A 21,819-nucleotide genomic window follows, 5' to 3' on the forward strand; every position below is an offset into this window, starting at 1 on the left:
TTGCTTGAACCTGGGAGACGGAGTTTGCAGTGAGCAGAGATCGCGCCATTGCAGTCCAGCCTGGGTGACAAGAGTGAAACTCTGTCTCAAAAAAAAAAAGAAAAGAAAAGAAGATACAGTCTCTAAGTTAGGACCATTGCTGCCCTAAACAAAATGAGGGTTCTATTTATAAGAACAAAGAAAATACGGATATTAGTCAAATGGCAAGAAGTCCTGACAATGAAATTCACCTGTGTGAATGACTTAACTTCCCAACTCTTACCTTCTCCCATATGCTCAGAATTCAGTGTTTTAGACTCAGCCAGGAGGAACCCTGCTCTGGGCCTGGGACTTTAGAAACACTGCTCTGTCCCTCCAGAGCCATGACCCTCTCTAAGGGCCAAGGGGAGATATCTACACAGAAGCCATATTCCCACCCATGTCAGATCATCCCCCAAATGCAGGCCAAGGGATTACCCACCCAAACGGTTGAGGAGCCTCTTCCATGGCCTGGGTGGACCTTTGTCCTTGGGTCAGTTCTTCTGAAGTCTGAATTCACCATTGATGTGAATGCATCAATGCCTGAGGGGTGACAAAGGGACAGCTACTTGCACAGGATTTAGACAGAACTTGGATATGTGAGCAGGGTATTTATTTATGTGTATGCAAAGATCCTCATAGGGCAGGACAGAACCAAAAGTGGGAAAAAGGGGTGGCATGCTGTGGGAGGGGAATATGAGGAACTTGAGAGGACCCCCTACATTGGGGCATGAACACTGAGGAGTCTAGGAATTCTAAGTTCAAACCTGGTCATCATGAGAATATACTTATTCAGGTAGCAGGATAAGACGTATTTTATTGAACTTTTTGGTAACTGATGGATAACTTACATTTAAACAGATGATATGTGGGCCTCCACTCATATTCTTACCCCCAGCCATACAAATATTAGGAATAGGACAGGGCCAAAAATTCATGGGTCTGGGAGAATGAGTCTTTATCTCCAAACTGGCATTTTGTGCACACTTTGAGAAGTTAGACATTGATAGAACTGACTGTAGTTTGGATATACTCATAGATATTTAGTTAAATAATAAAACCAACAGCCCCATCTAACCTGATATTTTATTAAATCCTGCTACATATGCTTATTGACTGGATATTCTTTTTCCATTCTTACTATCTCATGGAGAAGGAGCATGCCTCCCTTCAGTAAGTTAGTTCAGCCTAGTACATGGAGTAGTTCAATTTACAGTTTGACCTTTGAGCATCACAGGGGTTGGGGCACTGACCACCGCCCCCCCGTCCCCATGCAGCTGAAAATTTATATCTAACTTTCAACTTCCCCAAATTGAACTACTAATAGCCTATTGCTTACCAGAAACCTTGTCAATAACAAAAAGCCAATTAACCCACACCTTGTATATGTATTATATACTGTATTGTTACAGCAATGTAAGTTAAAAAATTATTAAGAAAATCATGAAAGAAAATATATATAGTGCTCATCAAGTGGAAGTGAATCATCCTAAAGGTCTTTATCCTCATTGCCTTCACACTGAGTAGTCTGAGGAGGAAGTGGAGAAGAGGAGGAGCTGGTCTTCCTGTCTCAGGTGTGGCAGAGGCAGAAACAGCGGAGGGGTTGGAAAGGGAGGTTGTAGAGCCAGGCATACTCAGCACAACTTTTACTGAAAAAAATCTCCATATAAGTGGACCCATGCAGTTCAAACCCCTGTTGTTCAAGGGTCAACTGTAATTTATTTAATTAAAAGAGCAAATAACATTCAAACGAGACAATCATCATCATCATCATCAAAGATTCCATCTTGAACATTTGTCATTCATTTAATTAACAAATATTGCATAGGTCCCCAATACGTGCCAGAAACTGTTCTAGATCCTCAAGATACAGTTGTGAAAAAGGTAAGGTGTGTTCAAGAACAGCTGATACCTTGTACACATAAACGCATCTCCCAGTTAACATTAGAAATTCAGATCTTGTCCATGATATGGCTAAACAGAAGCCTATTTCTCATTATTTTAAGTGAGAAAAATGCCTTTCAGTTTGGCCAAACCCCTAAACCAGTTTCCCATATTAACTAAAAATAATAAAATACCTATAAAGGAATAAAAGCTATCATATTGGAATGCAAAGTACTGAAAACATTACTTCATCATCAAGTAATTAGCATGGTTGCTAATGAACAATTTCTTTATAAGCAGTAATAGCCTTTATTCACACACCAACTGGGGAAACACACAACACACAACCCTTTGGTTGACGTGGTGCACATTTCAAAAGCCAACAAATGATTGTGCTTCCAGCTAGCATCAAACTACTTTTTCACCATAAAGAATGAGTGATTGGATAAAATATATGAAACAACTATTTCAGACATTAGATAATATGTAACTGTTATTGCAAAGAGAAAGGAAACAAATGAGATGAAACTACCGTCCCCACAATCTCTGCCTGGATGGACTTCTGATTCATGGTGCAGAAAGAAGGAGCCCAAATATAAGACAGAAGTCTCACTGAGATAAGGGAGCAGAGATCTGGGTCTGGGAAGCCTGAGTCAGCTAAAATGTGTGCGACACAGAAGCAAAGGTGAGGCAACTTCACAAAGAAAGAGTTCCAGAAATCTGCACGAGGAACCCTTTGAATCATTGCCTGAATATCAATCTGCACAGTCATAGAATGAGACTACAAGAGGCCAAGCAATGAACAACTACTGAGGAAATAGCAACTACCAAGAAATTGTAGGATGAAGAATTCCTAGAAATCACCTGAGAATATGAGATGTTCAAGTTCTGACCAGCCCGTGTAGAAAGGCTACACTGAACAACCAATGTATTCTGTAATATTTCTATACACTATCAAGGAGCAATAAAAATTTGAAAAAAAAACTGTTTCAATAGCATTAAATATTTGAAATAATTAGGGATACATTTGACAGAAGATATGCAAACACTTGGAGTGATTCTTTAGCAATTTTTACACTGAAAATTAAACAATATTAAAGAAGTCCTAAACAAATGAAAAAATATAGAATATTCTTGGATTGGAAGACTCAATATTGTTAAAATTTTAATTCCTTCTACATTAAACAATAGATTCAGTGCAATACTCATCAAAATATTAAGTATACTTGTAAAAATTGATAAGCTCATTCTTAATCTAATAGAGATAAAAGAACTTAAAATAGCCAAAACACATAGTAAAAGTAGAATGAAGTTGGAGAATGTACACTGATGGATTTTAGGATATGCCTTAAAGCTCTAGGAATCATGACGGTGTAATACTGGAGTAAAGACAGAAATATAAACAAATACAACAGCATACAGAGTCAGTAAATAGACCCACACATATATGGTTATTTGACTTTTGACAAAAGAGTCAAGACAGGGCCGGGCGCAGTGGCTCACGCCTGTAATCCCAGCACACTGGGAGGCCGAGGCGGGTGGATCATGAGGCCAGGAGATGGAGACCATCCTGGCTAACACAGTGAAACCCCATCTCTACAAAAATACAAAAAATTAGCTGGGTGTGGTGGCGTGCACCTGTAGTCCCAGCTACTCGGGAGGCTGAGGCAGGAGAATGGCGTGAACGCGGGAGGCAGAGCTTGCAGTGAGCCGACATTGCACCACTGCACTCCAGACTAGGAGAGAGAGGGAGACTCCATCTCAAAAAAAAAAAAAAGTCAAGACAATTCAATAAGGAAATGGATAATATTTTTCAGCAAATGGTGCTGTAATAATTACAGTTACATGTAAGGAAAATGAATTTCAATCTTCATCTCATGCCATACACAACAATTTATTCAAAGTAGATCACAAATGTAAATGGAAGAGTTAAAACTATTAAGTTCTTGAAGAAATAAGGATCTTATATTTCCTTAAACAATGATTTCCTAAATAGAACACACAGTTAGCTCAAACTATAACGTAAAATATTGTTTATTTGGACTTCATCCTAATTAAAAATTTGTTCTTCAAAAGACAGTATTTTAAAAAAAGATAGGTGGTCAAGTATGGTGGCTCAAGCCTGTAATCTCAGCACTTTGGGAGACCAAGGTGGGAGGATTACCTGAGTCCAGGAATTTGAGATCAGCCTGTGCAACATAGTGACATCTCGTCTCTACAGAATCCTTTTTAAAAAATTAGCCAGGTGTGGTGGTGGGCACCTGTAATCCCAGCTACTTGGGAGGCTGAGGTGTAGGATTGCTTGAGTCCTGGAGGTTGAGGCTGCAGTGAGCCATGATTGCACCACTGCGCTCCAGCCTAGGCAACAGAGCTGGATCTTGCCTCAAAAAGGAAACAAACAAACAAACAAACAAACAAAAAATATATATATACACATATATATATACACATATAAATGTAAGTTACAGAAAAGGAGAGGGGAAGAAAACTAAAGAAGTAATAAATAAATTTAAGAGTCACGAGATACTAGGTCAGCATACAAAAATCAATTGTGTTTCTATAAATTAGCAATAAATAATTGGAAAATGAAATTTTTAAATAATAAGTATTTCCAGTAGTGTCTAGAAGCTTAAAATGTTTAGAAATAAATTTAACTAAATATGTGTAAGACCAAAATGCTGAACACTACAAAACTCCACTAAGTGAATTTTTTAAAAGACCTGAATAAACAAAGAGAGCCAACATGTTCATGGACTGAAAGACTGGGTAAAATGGAGAAAGCTACTCTTTCCAAACTCATTTATAGATTTAATCCATTCCCAATCTAAATCTCAGACGATTTTTCTGTGGAAATTGAAAACATGATTCTAAAATTTACACAGAGGAAAAGTGCCTAGAATAGTCAAAATGATTTTGAAAAAACTAAAGTCGGAGGAGTTACACTACCTGATGTCAATATCTAATATAAGCTATAGTAATGAAGACAAAATGACTTTATCAAAGTCTACACCTATAAATCAATGGAGAGATTGATTTATATCAGGAAAAAAGGGAATAAGAAGGGCCAGGCGTGGTGGCACACACCTGTAATCCTAGCACTTTGGGAGGCTGAGGCGGGTGGATCAAGAGGTCAGGAGATCGAGACCATCCTGGCTAACACGGTGAAACCCTGTCTCTACTAAAAATACAAAAAAAAATTAGCCGGGCGTGGTGGCGGGTGCCTGTAGTCCCAGCTACTCGGGAGGCTGAGGCAGGAGAATGGCGTGAACCTGGGAGGCGGAGCTTACAGTGAGCCGAGATCGCGCCAGTGCAGTCCAGCCTGGGCAACAGAGCAAGACTCCGTCTCAAAAAAAAAAAAAAAAAAAAAAAAGAAGGTGCCATGCCATAGTGTTCTGCCTGTCTAACAGGAATTACAATCATTCCAGAAATGTACTAGATTTCTCTTAGCATTTCAGAAGTGGGTCTCATGTATACTCTTAGCCCAGGAGCTACACCTCCCTTCTCTGAGACCAAAGAGTCTATTCCCAATAAATGATTTATTTTATCATATACATATGACATATTATAAAGAATTATATGAATATAAATTCATATTATAAACAGTTTGAAATAAAGAGAAAAAATATCCTCCCAAATAATACCAAAACATGTTGTGTTTGCAAGAAAAAAGATGGGAGAATATTTTTACTAGACAACAGTCTTCCAAATGTCATTCTTTTGGATGTCTATGTCACATGTCGAAGCCTCCAAGACATGCTGCAGTATACACACTTCATTTTACCTAAATAGACATTTCTCAAAAGAAGACATACAAATGGCCAAGCAGTATATGAAAAAATGCTCAACATCACTAATCAGGGAAATGCAAATCAAAACCATGATAACATATCATCTTACTGCAGTTAGAATGGCTATTATCAGACAGACAAAAAAAATAAGAAATGTTGGCAAAGGTGGGGAGAAATGGGAACTCTCATCCACTGTTGGTAGGAATGCAGAGTAGTACAATCATGATGAAAAACAGTATGGAGGTTCCTCAAAAAACTGAAAATAGAACTACCATATGATCCTGCAATCCCACTGCTGAGTTTATGTCCAAAAGAAAGCAAACCAGTATATTGAAGAAGTGTTTGCCTTTCCATGTTTATTGCAGCACTATTCGCAATAGCCAAGATACTGAATCAACATATGTCAATCAGCAGATGAATGGATAAAGCAAATCTGGCACATACACACCATGGGATATTATTCTGCCATAAAAAAGAAGGAAATTCTGTCACTTGCAGCAATATGGATGGAACCGGAGGTCATTTTGTTAAATGAAATGAGCCAGGCACAAAAAAACAAATATTGCATGTTCTCACTCATATTGCATGGGAGCTAAAAATGTGGATCTCATGGATGTAGGGAGTAGAATGGTATTTATCAGAGTCCGAGAAGGGAAGGAGGAGGATATGAAGAGAAGATGGCTAATGGGTACAAAACTACAGTTAGATAGAAAAAATTAAGTTTGATATTCAATAGTACAATATGGAAATTATAGCTGATTTATTGTATATTTCCAAATAACTAGAGAAGAATTATAATGTTTTAGCACATTACACAAGGGAAGGGACGTGCAGGTCCTGGGCTAGGAGTGTACATGAAACCCACTTCTGAAATGCTAAACACAAAAATAAGTGTTTGAGGTGATGGATATCTCAATTATGCTTTGATCATTACACCTTGTATACATGTATCAAAATATCACATGTACTCCAAAAATATGTATAACTGATCAGTTATAAAAAAAGAAATATGCTTCACTTGGTTTAATTTATGTTTCCAAAATATTTTAGCACCAAACTTTTTTTTTTTTTTTTTGAGATAAGGTCTCACTTTGTTGCCTAGGCTGGAGTGCAGTGGCACAATCACGGCTCACTGCAGCCTTGGGTATTTTTAAAAAATTTTTTCTAGAGGCAGGGTCTCATTATGTTGCCCAGGCTGGTTCATAACTCCTGGGCTCAAGTAACTCACCGGCCTCAGGCTCCCAAAGTGCTGAAATTACATGCGTGAGCCACCACACCTTGCCACAAGTTGTTTTTCACATAATGGTTATGCTCTTATCAGTGTTGTTCAACAGAATTTTCCATGAGGCTAGAAATGTTTTCTGTATTTCCACTGTTCAATACAGTAGCCACTAGCTACACTGTGAACCCTTGAAATGTAGCCAGTGCAACTGATAAAATGAATTTTTAATTTTATGTAATTTTAAGTAATTAAAATTTAAATTTAAATAGTCACATGTGGTTAGTGGCTGTAATGTACTGAATAAAACAGCTCTAAAACAATATCTATTGCAAAGATTAGATATTTGAAAGACCACTGTAAAACAAGAATGTTGTTCTCAGCACATGACAAAATTAAGTTCAAAGTGATTAAATGACTTGCCCAAAATAAGCACCAAGTGAAAACACAGCCAAGATTTAAATGCAAATAAACCAAATTAGTGTGTTTCAAACTGCATGTTCTTTTCATTGTTCTACACTTCCTTAAAGATGCTACAGAGATGAGTATTTGTTGGTAACCTGTTGTATTTGTAAATGTTTATGGGGATATATATATTTACTGCTTCTATTTGCATAAATTTGAATTTTGCTGCATTTTTTATTATTATGGAAATAATATAGTTCCAGATCCATTCTTTTCAAATGCAATTTTTAAATAAGCAGTAAGTGGACATTTTCATTTGGTTGATGCAGAAACTGAAATGTAAAAAAAAAAAAAAAAAGATACATTAAATTTTATATCTGCCTTATATTGAAGACATTTTACAGCTATATAAGGAAAAATAGAAGTGGAAATAATTTTGATCATTTATATTAACTGAGGAATCTTAGAGGAGTAAGTTTCCACTTACATGCACACTGATATTTTTCATCTTTAACATTTTAAATCCAGTCCAATGTGCAAAGTAGTAACATCACGTTACAGAAGTTAAGGTTTAGTTTGTTGTATGGTTAGTAGTATGCACTTCCAAAATCATATAAAAACTGTTGGAAATACTCCTAAGTTTAGCTTTAAGCACTATATTCCTCAGATTGATGAGTGCTGAACATGACCTCTATTGACAAGTTATTTATTGACAATTTGAGGGCTCCAGTTTTCCCAGAGAACACTCTATTACATGTAACCAACGATGATTGTTATGAATGTCTTAAAGGTACTGATACATTTACACCAAACAGGAAGAGACAAATAGGTCATGTTAGGTACATTTACACCAAACAGGAAGAGACAAATAGGTCATGTTAGGTGTAACTTCGGTTTTCTAAGATTGCTTTTTAGAATATTATCTGAAAAAGAGTATATTATATTTCTAAATATTATGAATTAGGATATTTTTGATTTATGTATTAGGTAAATATTTTATAGGCTATAATGATTATCAATGACTTTCAGTGAAAAATAATGCATTTTTAATGTTTTACTTATTTTAAATACTACCAACACTCTAATTTTAATTATGGGACAGTTATAGGCCAAGAAAAAAATGGATGAAAAATTAGTCAACTGCTACAAATGGTTTTGCCCCAAGGATAAAATTACATATTTTCCTTAGTTCTCCAAATTGTAATATGTTACTCTTATGAAGAAAAAATAAATAATAAGTATGTAAATACCACATAAAACCTTCAAAAAATTAACTCAAAAGAGACTTTTTTTAATCTAAGTACATAAAATGATTGACCAACTTTTGATTTGATTTATTAAAAAGATAAGTTAGAATGGGTTTTACTTTTTAGAAAGGATTTGCATGGCAAAACGAAGTGAAAATCGTGAGCTAATTATGTGGTAAATTTAATTAGTGTAGCCACCTAATCAGAATTATTCAAGCTCATTATAGCTCAAAGAAAGTAAAACCACCCTGCCCAAGACCCAGCCAAGTGCAAATAAACATTTAGTAAATCCTGCTCATAGTAATAAACAAAATTAAGAACTTTCCTTCTATTCTAGCTATTTTCTTTTAATATGTGGGAGTATGAGGCATCAGATAATTTCCTCAATAGGCTTATTTTCAAGGAAAAACAAACTAAGAAAGCCATTTCTTCATCTATTGATTGTTGCACATGTAACTCAGCCACAACTGAACATTTTCAAAATCATCTGCATGTGCCATGCTTGGCTAGGACCACAGGTAGAGGGCAATTGCAGAAACGAAGATAATTTTCTTCCTTTCTGAGGTTTAGACCATTGAAATGAGAAAATGTATGGGTCAGTATGTAGTTATAGTTTACGTGCAGAGCAGTTGCCTTATATCAACTTGAGATCAATCCCGTGCTACCCCAATGGAACACTCTTGGATTGAAAAGAGAAGGGACACCATCTAGGACTTTTGCACAAATGTCTAGGCTGCTAATCTTAACTTTCTTCTTCCCTTGTAGAGAACAATATCCAAGTAATGTTTTGGAAAACGGAAACTCTATATTCCTGACTTCCCTTCCTAGGGAGTGGGACCCAGGGACAGCTGCAAGGATCTGCAGGCACTTTCTAGGCTCCCCTTGGATTGTTTACTTTCCTCCAGAAGCCAGAAAAGGAAAAGAAAATAAAGCATTGTAATATAAACAAAGGTAATGTTATTGACTATAGTTGTTTTCTGTTGGCACTGTAACAAATTACTGTAAATTTAGTAGCTTAAAACGGCATACATTTATTCTCTTACAGTTCTGAAGATCAGAAGTCCAAAATGAGTCTTACACAAGGTTTTGAAAGGGTGGGTTTCTTCTGGAAGTTTCAAGGGGGAATCCATTCCTTTGTCTCTTCCAGCCTCTAAGGCTGCAGGCATCCCTTGGTTTATGTCTGTGTTAGTCCAATCTCTTATGCTATCATCACATCGCCTTTTCATCTTCTATAGCCAAATCTCCCTCTGCCTCTCTTTTGAAAAGACTCTTGAGATTACACTGGGACTCCTGGGTAATCCCGAATAATCTCCCCATCTCACAGTCCTTAATGTAATCACATCTGGAAGGTATCCTTTCAGGGATCAGGACCTGGATATCTCTGGGGGCCATTATTCAGCTCACCACACTGATATTGGTGGTTCTGGTGGCAGTGGTAATGAAGACAGCAGTAATGGTACTGCAGATGGTAGCAGAAGTGTTGATGAAGTTCATGGTGATAGTACAAACTATGATGGTGGCAACGGAGGCAACGTTGATGTTGGCAAAGGCAATGGTGGTGTTAATGTGAGCAGAATAGCAGGACTGGGAACATCAGCAAAGGGGGTTTACTCTCAATGGTAGTTTAGACGTCGCAGTGCACAGTACTCTTGCCCATGGCTCTAAAGGACAGGCCAGAGTGCCCCAACCAGACTAACTACATCCTGGCCTTCAACAAGCAATGTCAGCCCAGTGGGAAGCTAAGACAGTTTCTTGCTTGTGGGGGGAAATGATTTATACACAAAAACTACAGTTACACAGAAGTCCCCTTCAAAGTATGTAAAAGGCAGAAGGATGTCACCTACGGAAGAATAGCTAGTCACATAGTGGATTGATCTGGAACTGAGACAAAGCTGGTAGCTCATGAGTCTATGACGGTTTGAATGTTAAGCTCATGAAAAGAATTTATCCTTCCTTTGTAACTTCTCCAGGATTTTCTGTACGATTAATTTTTCCAGTATACATGATGGAAGACTGTCACCTCCAAGGTATGTGTGTGACTTGGGAGCCACTGTGTGCAACCTTCTTTGGAGAAGCAAATGATGTGCTGCATATTTAGTCACACTTCTTAGTGTGTTCTAGTGACTTCGGGCAGTCTCTTTCTAGGACACAGCGCCCTCCCAATAAGTTGATGTCTCAAGAGGCATGATGATTTTTTCTCGAAGGAGAGTTTGTCAGCATGATTGCCTATGCTCCACTTCCTGGAGGCATTTGTGCATTCTCCTTAACATAAATAAATACTTCCCCTCTGGAGGTAAGGTAGCAGGCATCCAGTAGCCAGGCCATGGATTTTGACAATTAGCTTTCACAATTCCCTGGAAAGAAAACAAGTTGTGTACCAGGCCACCAGTAGGAAAGAGACTTGCTCTGGATACTATAGACGGTTGCATTGAAACTTACTCCATCTTGATGCGTCGGTGTGTTGTAAATGCCCCCTGCTCCACTACCCTATGGATTAAAAATAAAATTTCACAGGGAGGAGTTTTCATCAGCTACCTCCAAATATTTTGCAGGTAGAGGCTCTGATCTCTCCCTGTTTTCAGCCTGCTCAGCACCCTGTCCTGAGAAGTCTGTTTCTTAGACATCTATTATAACTGACATATTGTTGCAGTGGGGGTGAATAGATGCATTAGGCAGATGATCTTAATTGGCTTTCTTCCAAAAGAATTTTTTTAAGAAGAGACAGCTGAAATTCATTCACATTTACAATTAGTAAAACTTTCTTTCATTATTGAAACGCTTGCTGAAACAGCAGCCACATCAGGGTGACAAATCCCGTTATCATGCTTTCTGTAATTGTCTCCCCAAAAGACGCCTATTGAGAGCATTGTCTGGGCTTGTGTATTAGACTGACAATCAAGCTCCAGGCAGAGGGTAGAGGGGCATATGCAGCCTGCCCCAAAATGCTTTTGTGTGTGGGGGGGGGAGGGCTGTGTGTGTGTGAGTGTGTGTGTGTGTGTGTGTGTGTGTGTGTGTGTGGTTGTTCAGCAGAGAGAGCTAAGATTCTGGAAAAATATGAGGACGCACTGTGCGTACTAACAAGATCAGTCACCAGGCATTAGTGGGATTCTCGTGCTTTGCGTCTTTGGTTTTCTATTTTCTCATATTTTTCTCTGCGAGCAACCACAGGTGCTATTTGTTTGTCAGGCTGTTACTGGGGAAAATGAGAATGGGGGAAGAGATCATTTCTTTTTAAGTGATCAGTTAACAGCTGAACTCACATGGCTAACAATAGAATCATGATGAAAGGCAAACAGAAGAGTGTAAAGATTATTCCTTAAGAGTCTCATGGAATGAACTGTTTCCTGAAGGGGCTGGGAAGGAGCTACTTGCTTTGGACCTTGTGTGCCTTCGTGGCCAACGCTGGTGAAGGGGACTCCACAGGCCACTCTGGGCTGACACTGGTAGACGGATTACTGTGGAGGATGTTAAAACAATTCTCTCAGTGAGAATGAAGAAGGAATAGGTAATACCTTCAAATATGGAGCAGAAGGAGAGGGGGAGAGGGAAGAAGCATCAGTGAAGCAATGCCGATCATTGCTGTTTCAGTTCTCATGAGACCTGAGTCTCATTTTCTTTCACCAAGCCAACTGCCTGAGGGGTGCTGCTTAAATACCTTTGTCTGTTTATTGGATTGTCCAGCATGCACTGTGTTGCTCTCTCCCATATTCATCCTGAACGCTGACAGTTCCTTTCTCTTTTGCCAATTCACCTAGAATCACGTTGGCTAATACAATCTGTGCCTGCTCCATTCCCAAGAGAGCTCCCTCTCGTTCCAAAACTGCAATTCCAACCCAGTGAAACCTGCTGTCCTCACAGTCAGCCTTGCTCTGATTGAGAAAGAGCCGTGTGCTCGGTGTTATGTTGCTACTGGAGCATATCAGGGAAGAGGCAGATGCACAATGTGAGGTTGAGGGGTGAGGCAATAAATAACATGGCTTGAAAGAGACTAATCGAATTTAAAAGAAGATAGTCTCCTGCCCGCAGCATCCTAAGGTGACAGGAATGAAGCTGAACTCTGCATGATATTGTTACTGATATCTTTTCAAGGTTTCCATGCTTCCCCTTAGTGCATCCTGAAATTAACTAGAATCAAAAAATTAAGAATCTTCATAATCAGCACCATCAATGCAGAAACCAATTTCTGTCATAATCACATTAGTATTTCCAAGCTGGCATGTGCCAGGCACATAGTAGGTACTAAATAAATTTTCATTGAATGAATGAATGAGTTGAGCTCAGCTTTGCCACATACCATGTGACATTGGTAAGTTTTCAAGCTACTTGGCACTATAAACGAACAACCATCACAAAATAATGCCTTTGCTTTCAAGAAGCCTAAAGTCAAGTATAAGAGACAGAACCAAGTGTCCAGGCCCTTGACTTGCTAACCTGAACCTGACTCTGCCTCAACACGGCCATTGCAGTTGGCCCTCCTCACCACAAGCTCACCAGCTATCATTCTATTTGAACTCTGTCATCAGAAACTCTCTTGGAACCTGGATACCAGCCCGTTTCAATAGACTTCTTGTCACTATTAGCTAAAATATTAGTCCCACAGTTCTTCCATTTGTCATCCCAAACTCTTCTCGCCCTCCCTCTCCCTACCTCCATCTAAATGGTCAGAGAAACCAAGAAATGGATTACAAAGGTCTCAATCTAAGTAAACAAGGGACTTGTTCTGCAAATATAGCTTCAAGACAAGTCTCCAAGCCCTCATTTTCAATATATTTTGTACTCATAAGCCTCTCCTGCAGAGAAATTCTAGAACTCCTACTGCTCTAACAAGTTTTAACTGAGGCTTCTTCAACTCTCATTTACAACTTCAAACTCATCCAAAGTTTTTCTTAGACCCTCTCTCATGGAGGCATCTTATTCTCCTGCCATCCATATCCCACAATAATTAGGAGATTGAACCTTCCAGGCTCACATCTTTTTCTGACCAGGCTTGACCAATGGCAATCACATAAATATCCTATGAACAGTCACCTTCCTCACAATCCTTACAATATCAGATCTTAATCTATCCTTGGGTCATTCCCATATGTCATCTTCTCTGTTCCTATATTCAGACTACTAAACATTACTTGAGAAAATCCCAGCAACCACGTGGACTAGTGATACAATGACATAGGGATCCCCAATCTCACCTGGACTCTTACAATTACCTGACATTTGTTTATTTGTCCTTGGTTCTTGGTTCAACCTTGCGATAGTTAATTCGGTATCAAATTAGCTAGGCTGTGCTACCCCAGTTGTTTGCTAAAATGCCAATCTAGATATTGCTGTGAAGGTATTTTTTTAGATGTGATTAACGTTTAAATCAGCAGATGTTGAGTAAAGCTGATTACCCTCCATAAAGTGGGTGGCCCTCATCCAATCAGTTGAAAATCTTAGAGAAAAGATTGAGGTCCCTCAAAGAAGAAAGAATTCTGCCTAGAGATGGCCTTCAGACTCAAGTCTGCAATGTTGACTCTTTCTGGGTCTGCAGCCTGCTGGCCTACCCTACAGATTTCCGGCTTGCCAGCTCCCATAATCACGTGAGCCAATTTCTTAAAATAAACCTCTCTTTCTCTCTCTCTCTGTCTCTCTCTCTGTCTCTTTCTCTTTCTCTGTTGGTTCTGTTTTTCTGGAGAACACTGACTAATACTAGCACACCCTTCAGCAACTATTAAAAATGCCTGCAGACGGGCGCAGTGGCTCACGCCTGTAATTCTAGCACTTTGGGAAGCCAAGGAGGACGGATTGCCTGAGCTCAGGAGTTGGAGACCAGCCTAGGCAACACGGTGAAACCCCATCTCTACTAAACTACAAAAAAAATTAGCCAGGTGTGGCAGCATGCACCTGTAGTCCCAGCTACTCAGGAAGCTGAGGCAGTAGAATCACTTGAACCCAGGAGGCAGAGGTTGCAGTGAGTCAAGATCACGCCACTGCACTCCAGCCTGGGCGACAGAGTAAGACTCCTTCTCAAAAAAAAACAAAAACAAAACAAAAAACAAAACAAAACAAAAATAACTGTCTGCTACTCTCTTCAGCTCCTTTCCACTTCCCATCCCTCTCACTCTCAGGTGACCTTGCTTGGTGCACCCAGAAGACTTAGGCAAAATCCAATCTGACCTGACTCAATTACCCAACATCCTACTTCTAATGATCTCACATCCAGGTTGCACTGCCTAGGGAACCCTTTTATTTAACACTTAAAGAAAAAGATTTGAACCCTCATTAGATACTTTGTGGTGACTACCAAAATGTTTTACCAAGGTAGGAATGGTTTATGTGTTCCTTGAATCTGTCCACACTTAAAAACTTTCTTTCTATGGCAGAAAACCATTTTTCTTACTCGAGGCTACCATTCTTTTTGCTGTGTAACAAACATGTACGCATGGTTTGGGTCACTAAGTGGATTTAGAGCAGAACAATAAAGGCCATTCTTTTTATTTATTTATTTATTTATTTTTGAGGAGTCTTGCTTTTGTCGCCTAGGCTGGAGTGCAATGGCGCAATCTCGGCTCACTGCAACCTCCGCCTCCCAGGTTCAAGCAATTCTCCTGCCTCAGCGTCCCGAGTAGCTGGGATTATAGGAGCCCACTACCACACTCGGCTTTTTTTTTTTTTTTTTGTATTTTTAGTAGAGATGGGGTTTCGCCATGTTGGTCAGGCTGGTCTCGGACTCCTGACCTCAGATGATCCACCTGCCTCGGCCTCCCAAAATGCTGGGATTACAGGCATGAGCCACTGCACCCGGCCAATAAAAGCCATTATTAACATTGCATATTAAACATCACTATCCTCAAACCCATTGGCCATTCCCTGTGATCTGGAACTTCGTTCTGGCTGTGAGCCCCCTAAAGAGCAAGCTTGCTGTCATTTTCTCAAGCCTTTCTCCTTAATAATAACCCAACTGTCCAACCCAACTCTCACTGCTCTTTGATAGATTTTCCTTACTTCTCTCCAGGAATACCCTTCCCAGAAACTACCAATTCCTCCTACTTTATTTTTTAATTTTGTTTTATTTTTTGTTTGTTTGTTTTGAGACAGGGTCTCATTCTGTCACCCAGGCCGGTGTGCAGTGGCAGGATCTTGGCTCACTGCCACCTCCACCTCCTAGGCCCAAGTAATCTTCCCACCTCAGCCTCCCAAATAGCTGGGATTACAGGCACATGCCACCATATGTGGCTTATATATTTTTTTTATTTTTTGTAGAGACAGGGTCTCACTATGTTGCCCAGGTTGGTCTCAAACTCCTGGGCTTAAGGAATCCTCCCACCTCGGCCACCCACAATGCTGGGATTACAAGCCTAAGCCACCACGCCTGGCCTCATCTTTCTTCGTCACACAGCGCAGTTCTACTCTATCTTGACCTAACCATAGAACAGCAGTTCTCAGTGTGTTATTTAGAATCTTCATCTGTAGAGTCACCTTTTTAAGTGGTTGCTAAGGGGAAAACTATTTTTACAATGTAATTAAGAAATTATTTGCCTTTTTCACTGTCATTTCTCATTAGTGTGTAGTGAAGATTCTGGAGCCTGCATGATGTGGGATGTGACTACAGACTTAATGCAGAAGTAGACATGGGACTCCAGCTGTCTCCTATCAAGAAAGACTTCAAAAACAAACAATCAAAAAGGCCAGGTGTGACAGCTCACACCTGCAATCCCAGCACTTTGGGAGGCCAAGGAGGGAGGATTGCTTGAGCCCATGAGTTCAAGACCAGCCTGGGAAACATAGGATAACCCTGTCTCTACCCCCACAAAATACAAAACGTGGCTGGGCATGGTGGCATACTCCCATAGTCTCAGCTACTTCGGTGGCTGGGGTAGGCAGAGTACTTGAGCCCAGGAGGCGGAGGTTTTAGCGAGCCAGGATTGTGCCACTGCACATCAGCCTGGGTGACAGAGACAGACTCTGTCTCAAAAAACAAAGATTTTAGAGACATTTTCAAAAATGTAAAACAGTAGCTCTCTTCTGGCTAATTATTTAGTTTTGAAAATAGAGTTATTGGCAGAGCACGGTGGCTCACTCCTGTAATCCTAGCATTTTGGGAAGCCAAGGCAGGCGGATTACCTGAGGTCAGGAGTTCGAGACCAGCCTGACCAACATGAAGAAACCCCATCTCTACTTTAAAAAAAATACAAAATTAGCTGGGCATGGTGGCACATGCTTGTAATCCCAGCTACTCAGGAGGCTGAGGCACGAGAACTGCTTGAACCTGAGAGGCAGAGGTTGCAGTGAGCCAAGATTGCGCCATTGCACTCTAGCCTGCGCAACAAGAGCAAAACTCCATCTCAAAAAAAAAAAAGAAAGAAAAAAGAAAAAAAAAGAAAAGAAAATAGTTATTTTTCATAAAATATCTCATTTTGTTAGCATTTGATTGATTTTAGTTTTAAATAAATTAAAAATATATTTAAAGCAATTTCTGTTTCAATTTCTAATATGGTAAACACTTAAAACCTACATAAAAAAACTCTTCAGGGTCCTCAATATTTTTTAAAAGTGTAAAGAGGTTCCTGGGGCTACAAAACTCCAGGACCCTCCAGGCCATGCTGTGCTAGGCCTCCATCTTTCACACTCCAAGAGGCCATTAAGGAATTTTCTTCTGAAGATTCAATTCTTCTGATATGAATTATGAAAGTTCTCCAGAATTAATAAGCATTTAAGCCAATTTCTATAAATGTTATTTTTCTTTCTGCTAAAAGTCAATCATATTTCTACATATTCATCCTTTCTTCCCTCCAGACTCACACCAGTGGGACCCTCACTCCTGTCTGCCCTTGTACTTACATTCTCAGTCATCCTCAAATGCTTTCTCTCTTTTCTGTTTCCTTCTTTTTTTTGCTTTGTTTTGTTTTGTTATTTTGACAGGGTCTCCCTCTGTCACCCAGGCTGGAGTACAGTGGTGCTACCATAGTTCACTGCAGCCTTGAACTCCTGGGCTCAAGTGATCTTCCTGCCTCAGCCTCCTGAGAAGCTGGGACTATAGCTGGGAATATGGGCACAGACCATCATGCCTGGCTAATTTTTTTTTTAACATTTTTTTACCTTTTTTTTTTTTTTTTACTTTTTGTAGAGACAGAGTCTCATTATGTTGCCCAGGCTGGTCTTGAACTCCTGGACTCACGCAATCTTCCTGCCTCGGCCTCCCAAAGTGCTGGGATTACAAAAGTAAGCCACTGTGCCTGGCCTCTTTTCTATTTCTTAAACAGTTTCTTATGTATTGCTTATTTCCTTCAGCCTATAAATGGGCTTGGCTTGCTCCAATTAAAATATATATAGATGTAATTTATATTAATACATATGTAATTTTATTACATATAGAGCATATGTATATGGGCATGTGTGTGTGTGCGTGCGTGTGTTGCTTCATTCCCTTGATAGTTCTACACTATTTCTCAACTTCTCTTTTCAGCCAAGCTTTTGGTGAGAAGAGTCAATACTTTTTCTGTCTCAACTTCCTCACACTCCACTCACTCTTCAGTTCCTTGGAACTAACTTCTGACTGAATTCCTCCACAGCAAATATTTCAGGGATGGTCTTCCAAAATGCAAAATCCAAGGAACGCCACGTAGCCCTCACCAAAAAGAATTCTCTGCTGCACTGCACATTGCACACTGCTCTCTCTGACTTCTATGGCACTGTTCTTCTGGCATTACTTCCTCTCTGACCATTCTTTCTCAGGTTCCTTTATAGAAGATGCCTATTAATACTTAAACTCCCAAAATATTACTTTCCAGATTTGTGTCCACACTTTCCAGAGTTCTGTCCATAAACTGGTTGGATGTGAAAATCAACGAAGGGACTTAAAGAAGTCCATCAGATTCCTGACTTGATTAAAGGCTGAAGCTAGCAACTGAACCACAGAATATGGCCAAAGAAAAGCATGTTTGGGAGGGGGAATAGGCTGAATGGGGAGAGGACAGTTTCCGGTAGCAGAAAGATTGAAATGCATAGATGCACATCATCTCTAAGGTTTCTTTCTCTTCTAAAATCCATGTAGTTGGATGCATTCTTGAATTAGATGCAGATTATAGCACAATATATAATTATGGAAGCATATAAGATAAGCTGAATAGCCATTTTCCAGAAATGATGTTGGAAAAACTGCTTAAACTGACCAAGTAGACTAACTGCCCTCAAAAGTCCCTTCTATATTCAGATCTTATGATTCTATGAAATACTATTATAGTATTGATCACTGGACCAGAGACTTAAAAATAATTAAGGCTGCTGAAAGTCAGTGCATATATCACATGGGAAATCTTCTACAGTGGGCTGAGATGAGGGGGTGGAGACTCTCTTCAGCTTCCTGCTTACCTTTCTGCCCTGTGCCTCCTCTACCTGGGCTGTCCAATGCGGCTCTACTCTCTCCTCTGCCTTTTTCCCTGTTAAAACTAGCTTGGAAGCAAATCTCTCACTGTGAACGTAAGTGACAAATTACCTTGCCCAGTGGTTTGTACATATTAAACCTTATTTCTACTTCAAGAATGTTAAGTATTACCTGATGCTGAAGTTACCCAAATCATTTTTCCAGGTCAAGCCTGTCTCCTCAGATCCACATAAATATATCCAGTATGCCCTGCCACATAGACGCATCAGGATGCACAATTTCCTGAAGCCTTTCTCTGTCTACACTGCCCATGCCCCTCTCCCGTGAGCCATGCTTAGTTATGGGCACTGCCATGTGTCCATTTTCCTAAGCCAGACCCATGTTGGACTCTTCCTTTTACACCAGATACTGAATAGTATAATTCCTTACTGTCTCAGTCCATACCCTCCTCTTTGGCTCTTGGTTATAGCTACAGGACAATTGTCCCATTATCTGCTATTGCACAATTGTAATGGTCTCTAGCCCTGCCATTCCTCCAAGCAGTTCTGCATATTTTTTCCAGAACCATCTTTTTGAATTGCAAATGTGATGATGTTGCCCCCATGAGGCCCAGCCCAACTCTCAAGTCTCATTTTACCTTTACCCCTTTATCACACTCTATCCTTCAGCCACTCGGAACTCCTTGTTCTGCATACCACTGCACTCTCTATTCATTTCTCACTTATCTACAATGTCCACCTAGAAAAATCTTATCTTTTAAAATGCAATTCAAGGTTGCCTTGTTAATGAAATCTTTTATTTCATCCAGTAAGAATGGGCTATTCCTCTTTTCAGTCTGCCAGTGCCTTCAGTGGATGTCACTCATAAGAATTTATTACTTTTATTTAGTCATATATTATTATTGCTTCTTGCATACTCTTTGAGATCATTAAATGTCATGAGCATGTTGACAATTATCTCTGCTTCCACAGAACAGACTAGGCACTCAGTAAACAGTAAACAAGTAAATGTAAAATGTATAATTGCAATAAAATCATCTATTCTCCAAAAGAATATCAGAAATTTCCCAGTAGATGAAATAACTATTGCTACCAAAATAAAATTGCAAATGTGTATCAACTTTGGACTAGAGAAAGAACAAGATGAAACTAAAGGCAGGAAAATGTTTATTATTTTCCATATATCTCACCCTTCGGTGAAATCAATATGCTTGCTGCCTTGCTTTATTCTACCTTAATGTGAGAACTTTCTAGAAAGCTGTATTAATGGAGTAGGAGGAGACTATTAGCATTTATTGTGACCCTCACTTAAGTGCTAGGAATATATTAGCCACTTTGATATAAATAATCTCATTTAACCCACACAGCTCTTCATTCCATCTAATATAATCCCTGTCATGGCAAATAATAAACTGAAGGTCAGAGAAGTTAGTTGACTTTTTCCAAATTTACACAACATTTGATCAAGGCAGGATTCAAATCCAAGACTTTGATTCAAAGGCCTATGATCTTTCTATTTTACACTACAAGAATTTGTACCCAGGCAGATGGTTTCTCCTTGACCTTTTTAATGTGAAGGTAAAAGGATACAAAGATCCCTAAGAAATAGACAAATGTGTATAAAAGCAATAAAACTGGTCACATCTTTTGAGATTAGTAATATAATGAGTCAAAAGTAATTTGCTTGTCTGTAAACTTCTTTTGTATTTATTTATTTATTTTTTGAGACAGACTCTTGCTCTGTCACCCAGGCTAGAGTGAGTGGCGCAATCTCAGCTCACTGCAAACTCCGCCTCCTGGGTCCTGGTTCAGGTGATTCTCCTGCCTCAGCCTCCCTAGCAGCTGAGACTACAGGCACGTGCCACCACATCCAGCTAATTTTTGTATTTTTAGTAGAGACAGGGTTTCACCATGTTGGCCAGGCTGGTCTCAAACTCCTGACCTCATGATCCGCCTGCCTCAGCCTCCCAGACTGCTGGGATTACAGGCGTTAAGCCACTGCACCTGGCCTATAAACTTCTTCTTAAGTGACATTTTAAAAAGCAGAGAACACTATTGTAAATCCTTCTCCTTTCCACCTTATGATAAAATTTCTTCATTTTTTGATCTCAATGTCTTCTGTTATTTTCACCTGAGTAGGATTGCTTCAGGGTTCAACCTGACAACCAACACTCCAACAGTGACCAGTGACGTGAGATAAATGGATGGAACCATCCCTGGTGTTTTCAGGCAGTTTTCTCATAACTTGTTACTGACATTGTCGCCCTTCTCAAGGACCCTGCATGTAAAGAGAAGTGTTCATTCCCACATCACTCTAACTGTCCTCAATGGCAACATTCATTGTTGCTTTCTGAATAAGTGCAGGTTCTCCTTGACTCTTAGCCTAGACAGTAGCTAAGCCACAGTATCCAAGAGTAGTCCAGTTTTAGGATAAAGCAGATTTAAATATCAGGTTTAAAATAAATGAGCAAATAAAGGGTGAGGAGCTGGGGTTGCTAAAGATCATTCACAATGAAGATGAAAAGAGAATGAGGAGGAGGAGGAGAAGAAACACTTATTAAATGCCTACTGTATGCTAAGGACCATGATGACTCATTTACAGCCTCTAACTCCGTGAGGTACATACTATTGTCTCATGATTACAGATGAGGAAACTGAGGCTTAGAGAGACTAACCTTCCCAAGTATACACAGATTTGAGCCACAGACCCTACCACACTGGATTTAGGCTGAGAAAATTAGCAAGGTGAGACTGGCAGTGGATAACGAGTTTTATAGGAGTTCAGGAAAATACTGAGAGGCTTTGCATCCTTCATGTTTGAAATTTGCACAATGAAGTCAATTTCTAAGACCCCCCACAGCACCAAAATATTGGGAGATGATGGCCAACATTTTCT

General features: G+C 39.5%; 2 long non-coding RNA genes across 2 annotated transcripts in view; one reads left to right on the forward strand and one right to left on the reverse strand.

The window, feature by feature from the left end:
- Positions 1–16,224, forward strand: part of LOC105375643 (uncharacterized) — a 40,499-nt gene extending 24,275 nt beyond the window's left edge. Inside the window, exons 2-3 of the long non-coding RNA XR_001746003.2 lie at positions 9,327–9,512; positions 16,105–16,224. This is a non-coding gene — a long non-coding RNA (uncharacterized LOC105375643). The remainder of the gene's footprint in view (positions 1–9,326; positions 9,513–16,104) is intronic.
- The window catches only part of LOC107986956 (uncharacterized), a 90,023-nt gene continuing 68,246 nt past the window's right edge, over positions 43–21,819 (reverse strand). Inside the window, exons 3-4 of the long non-coding RNA XR_001745996.1 lie at positions 461–561; positions 43–81 (exon numbers count right to left, since the gene is read on the reverse strand). This is a non-coding gene — a long non-coding RNA (uncharacterized LOC107986956). The remainder of the gene's footprint in view (positions 82–460; positions 562–21,819) is intronic.

This window comes from Homo sapiens, chromosome 8 (assembly GCF_000001405.40).
Source record: "Homo sapiens chromosome 8, GRCh38.p14 Primary Assembly".
NCBI lineage: Eukaryota > Metazoa > Chordata > Mammalia > Primates > Hominidae > Homo > Homo sapiens.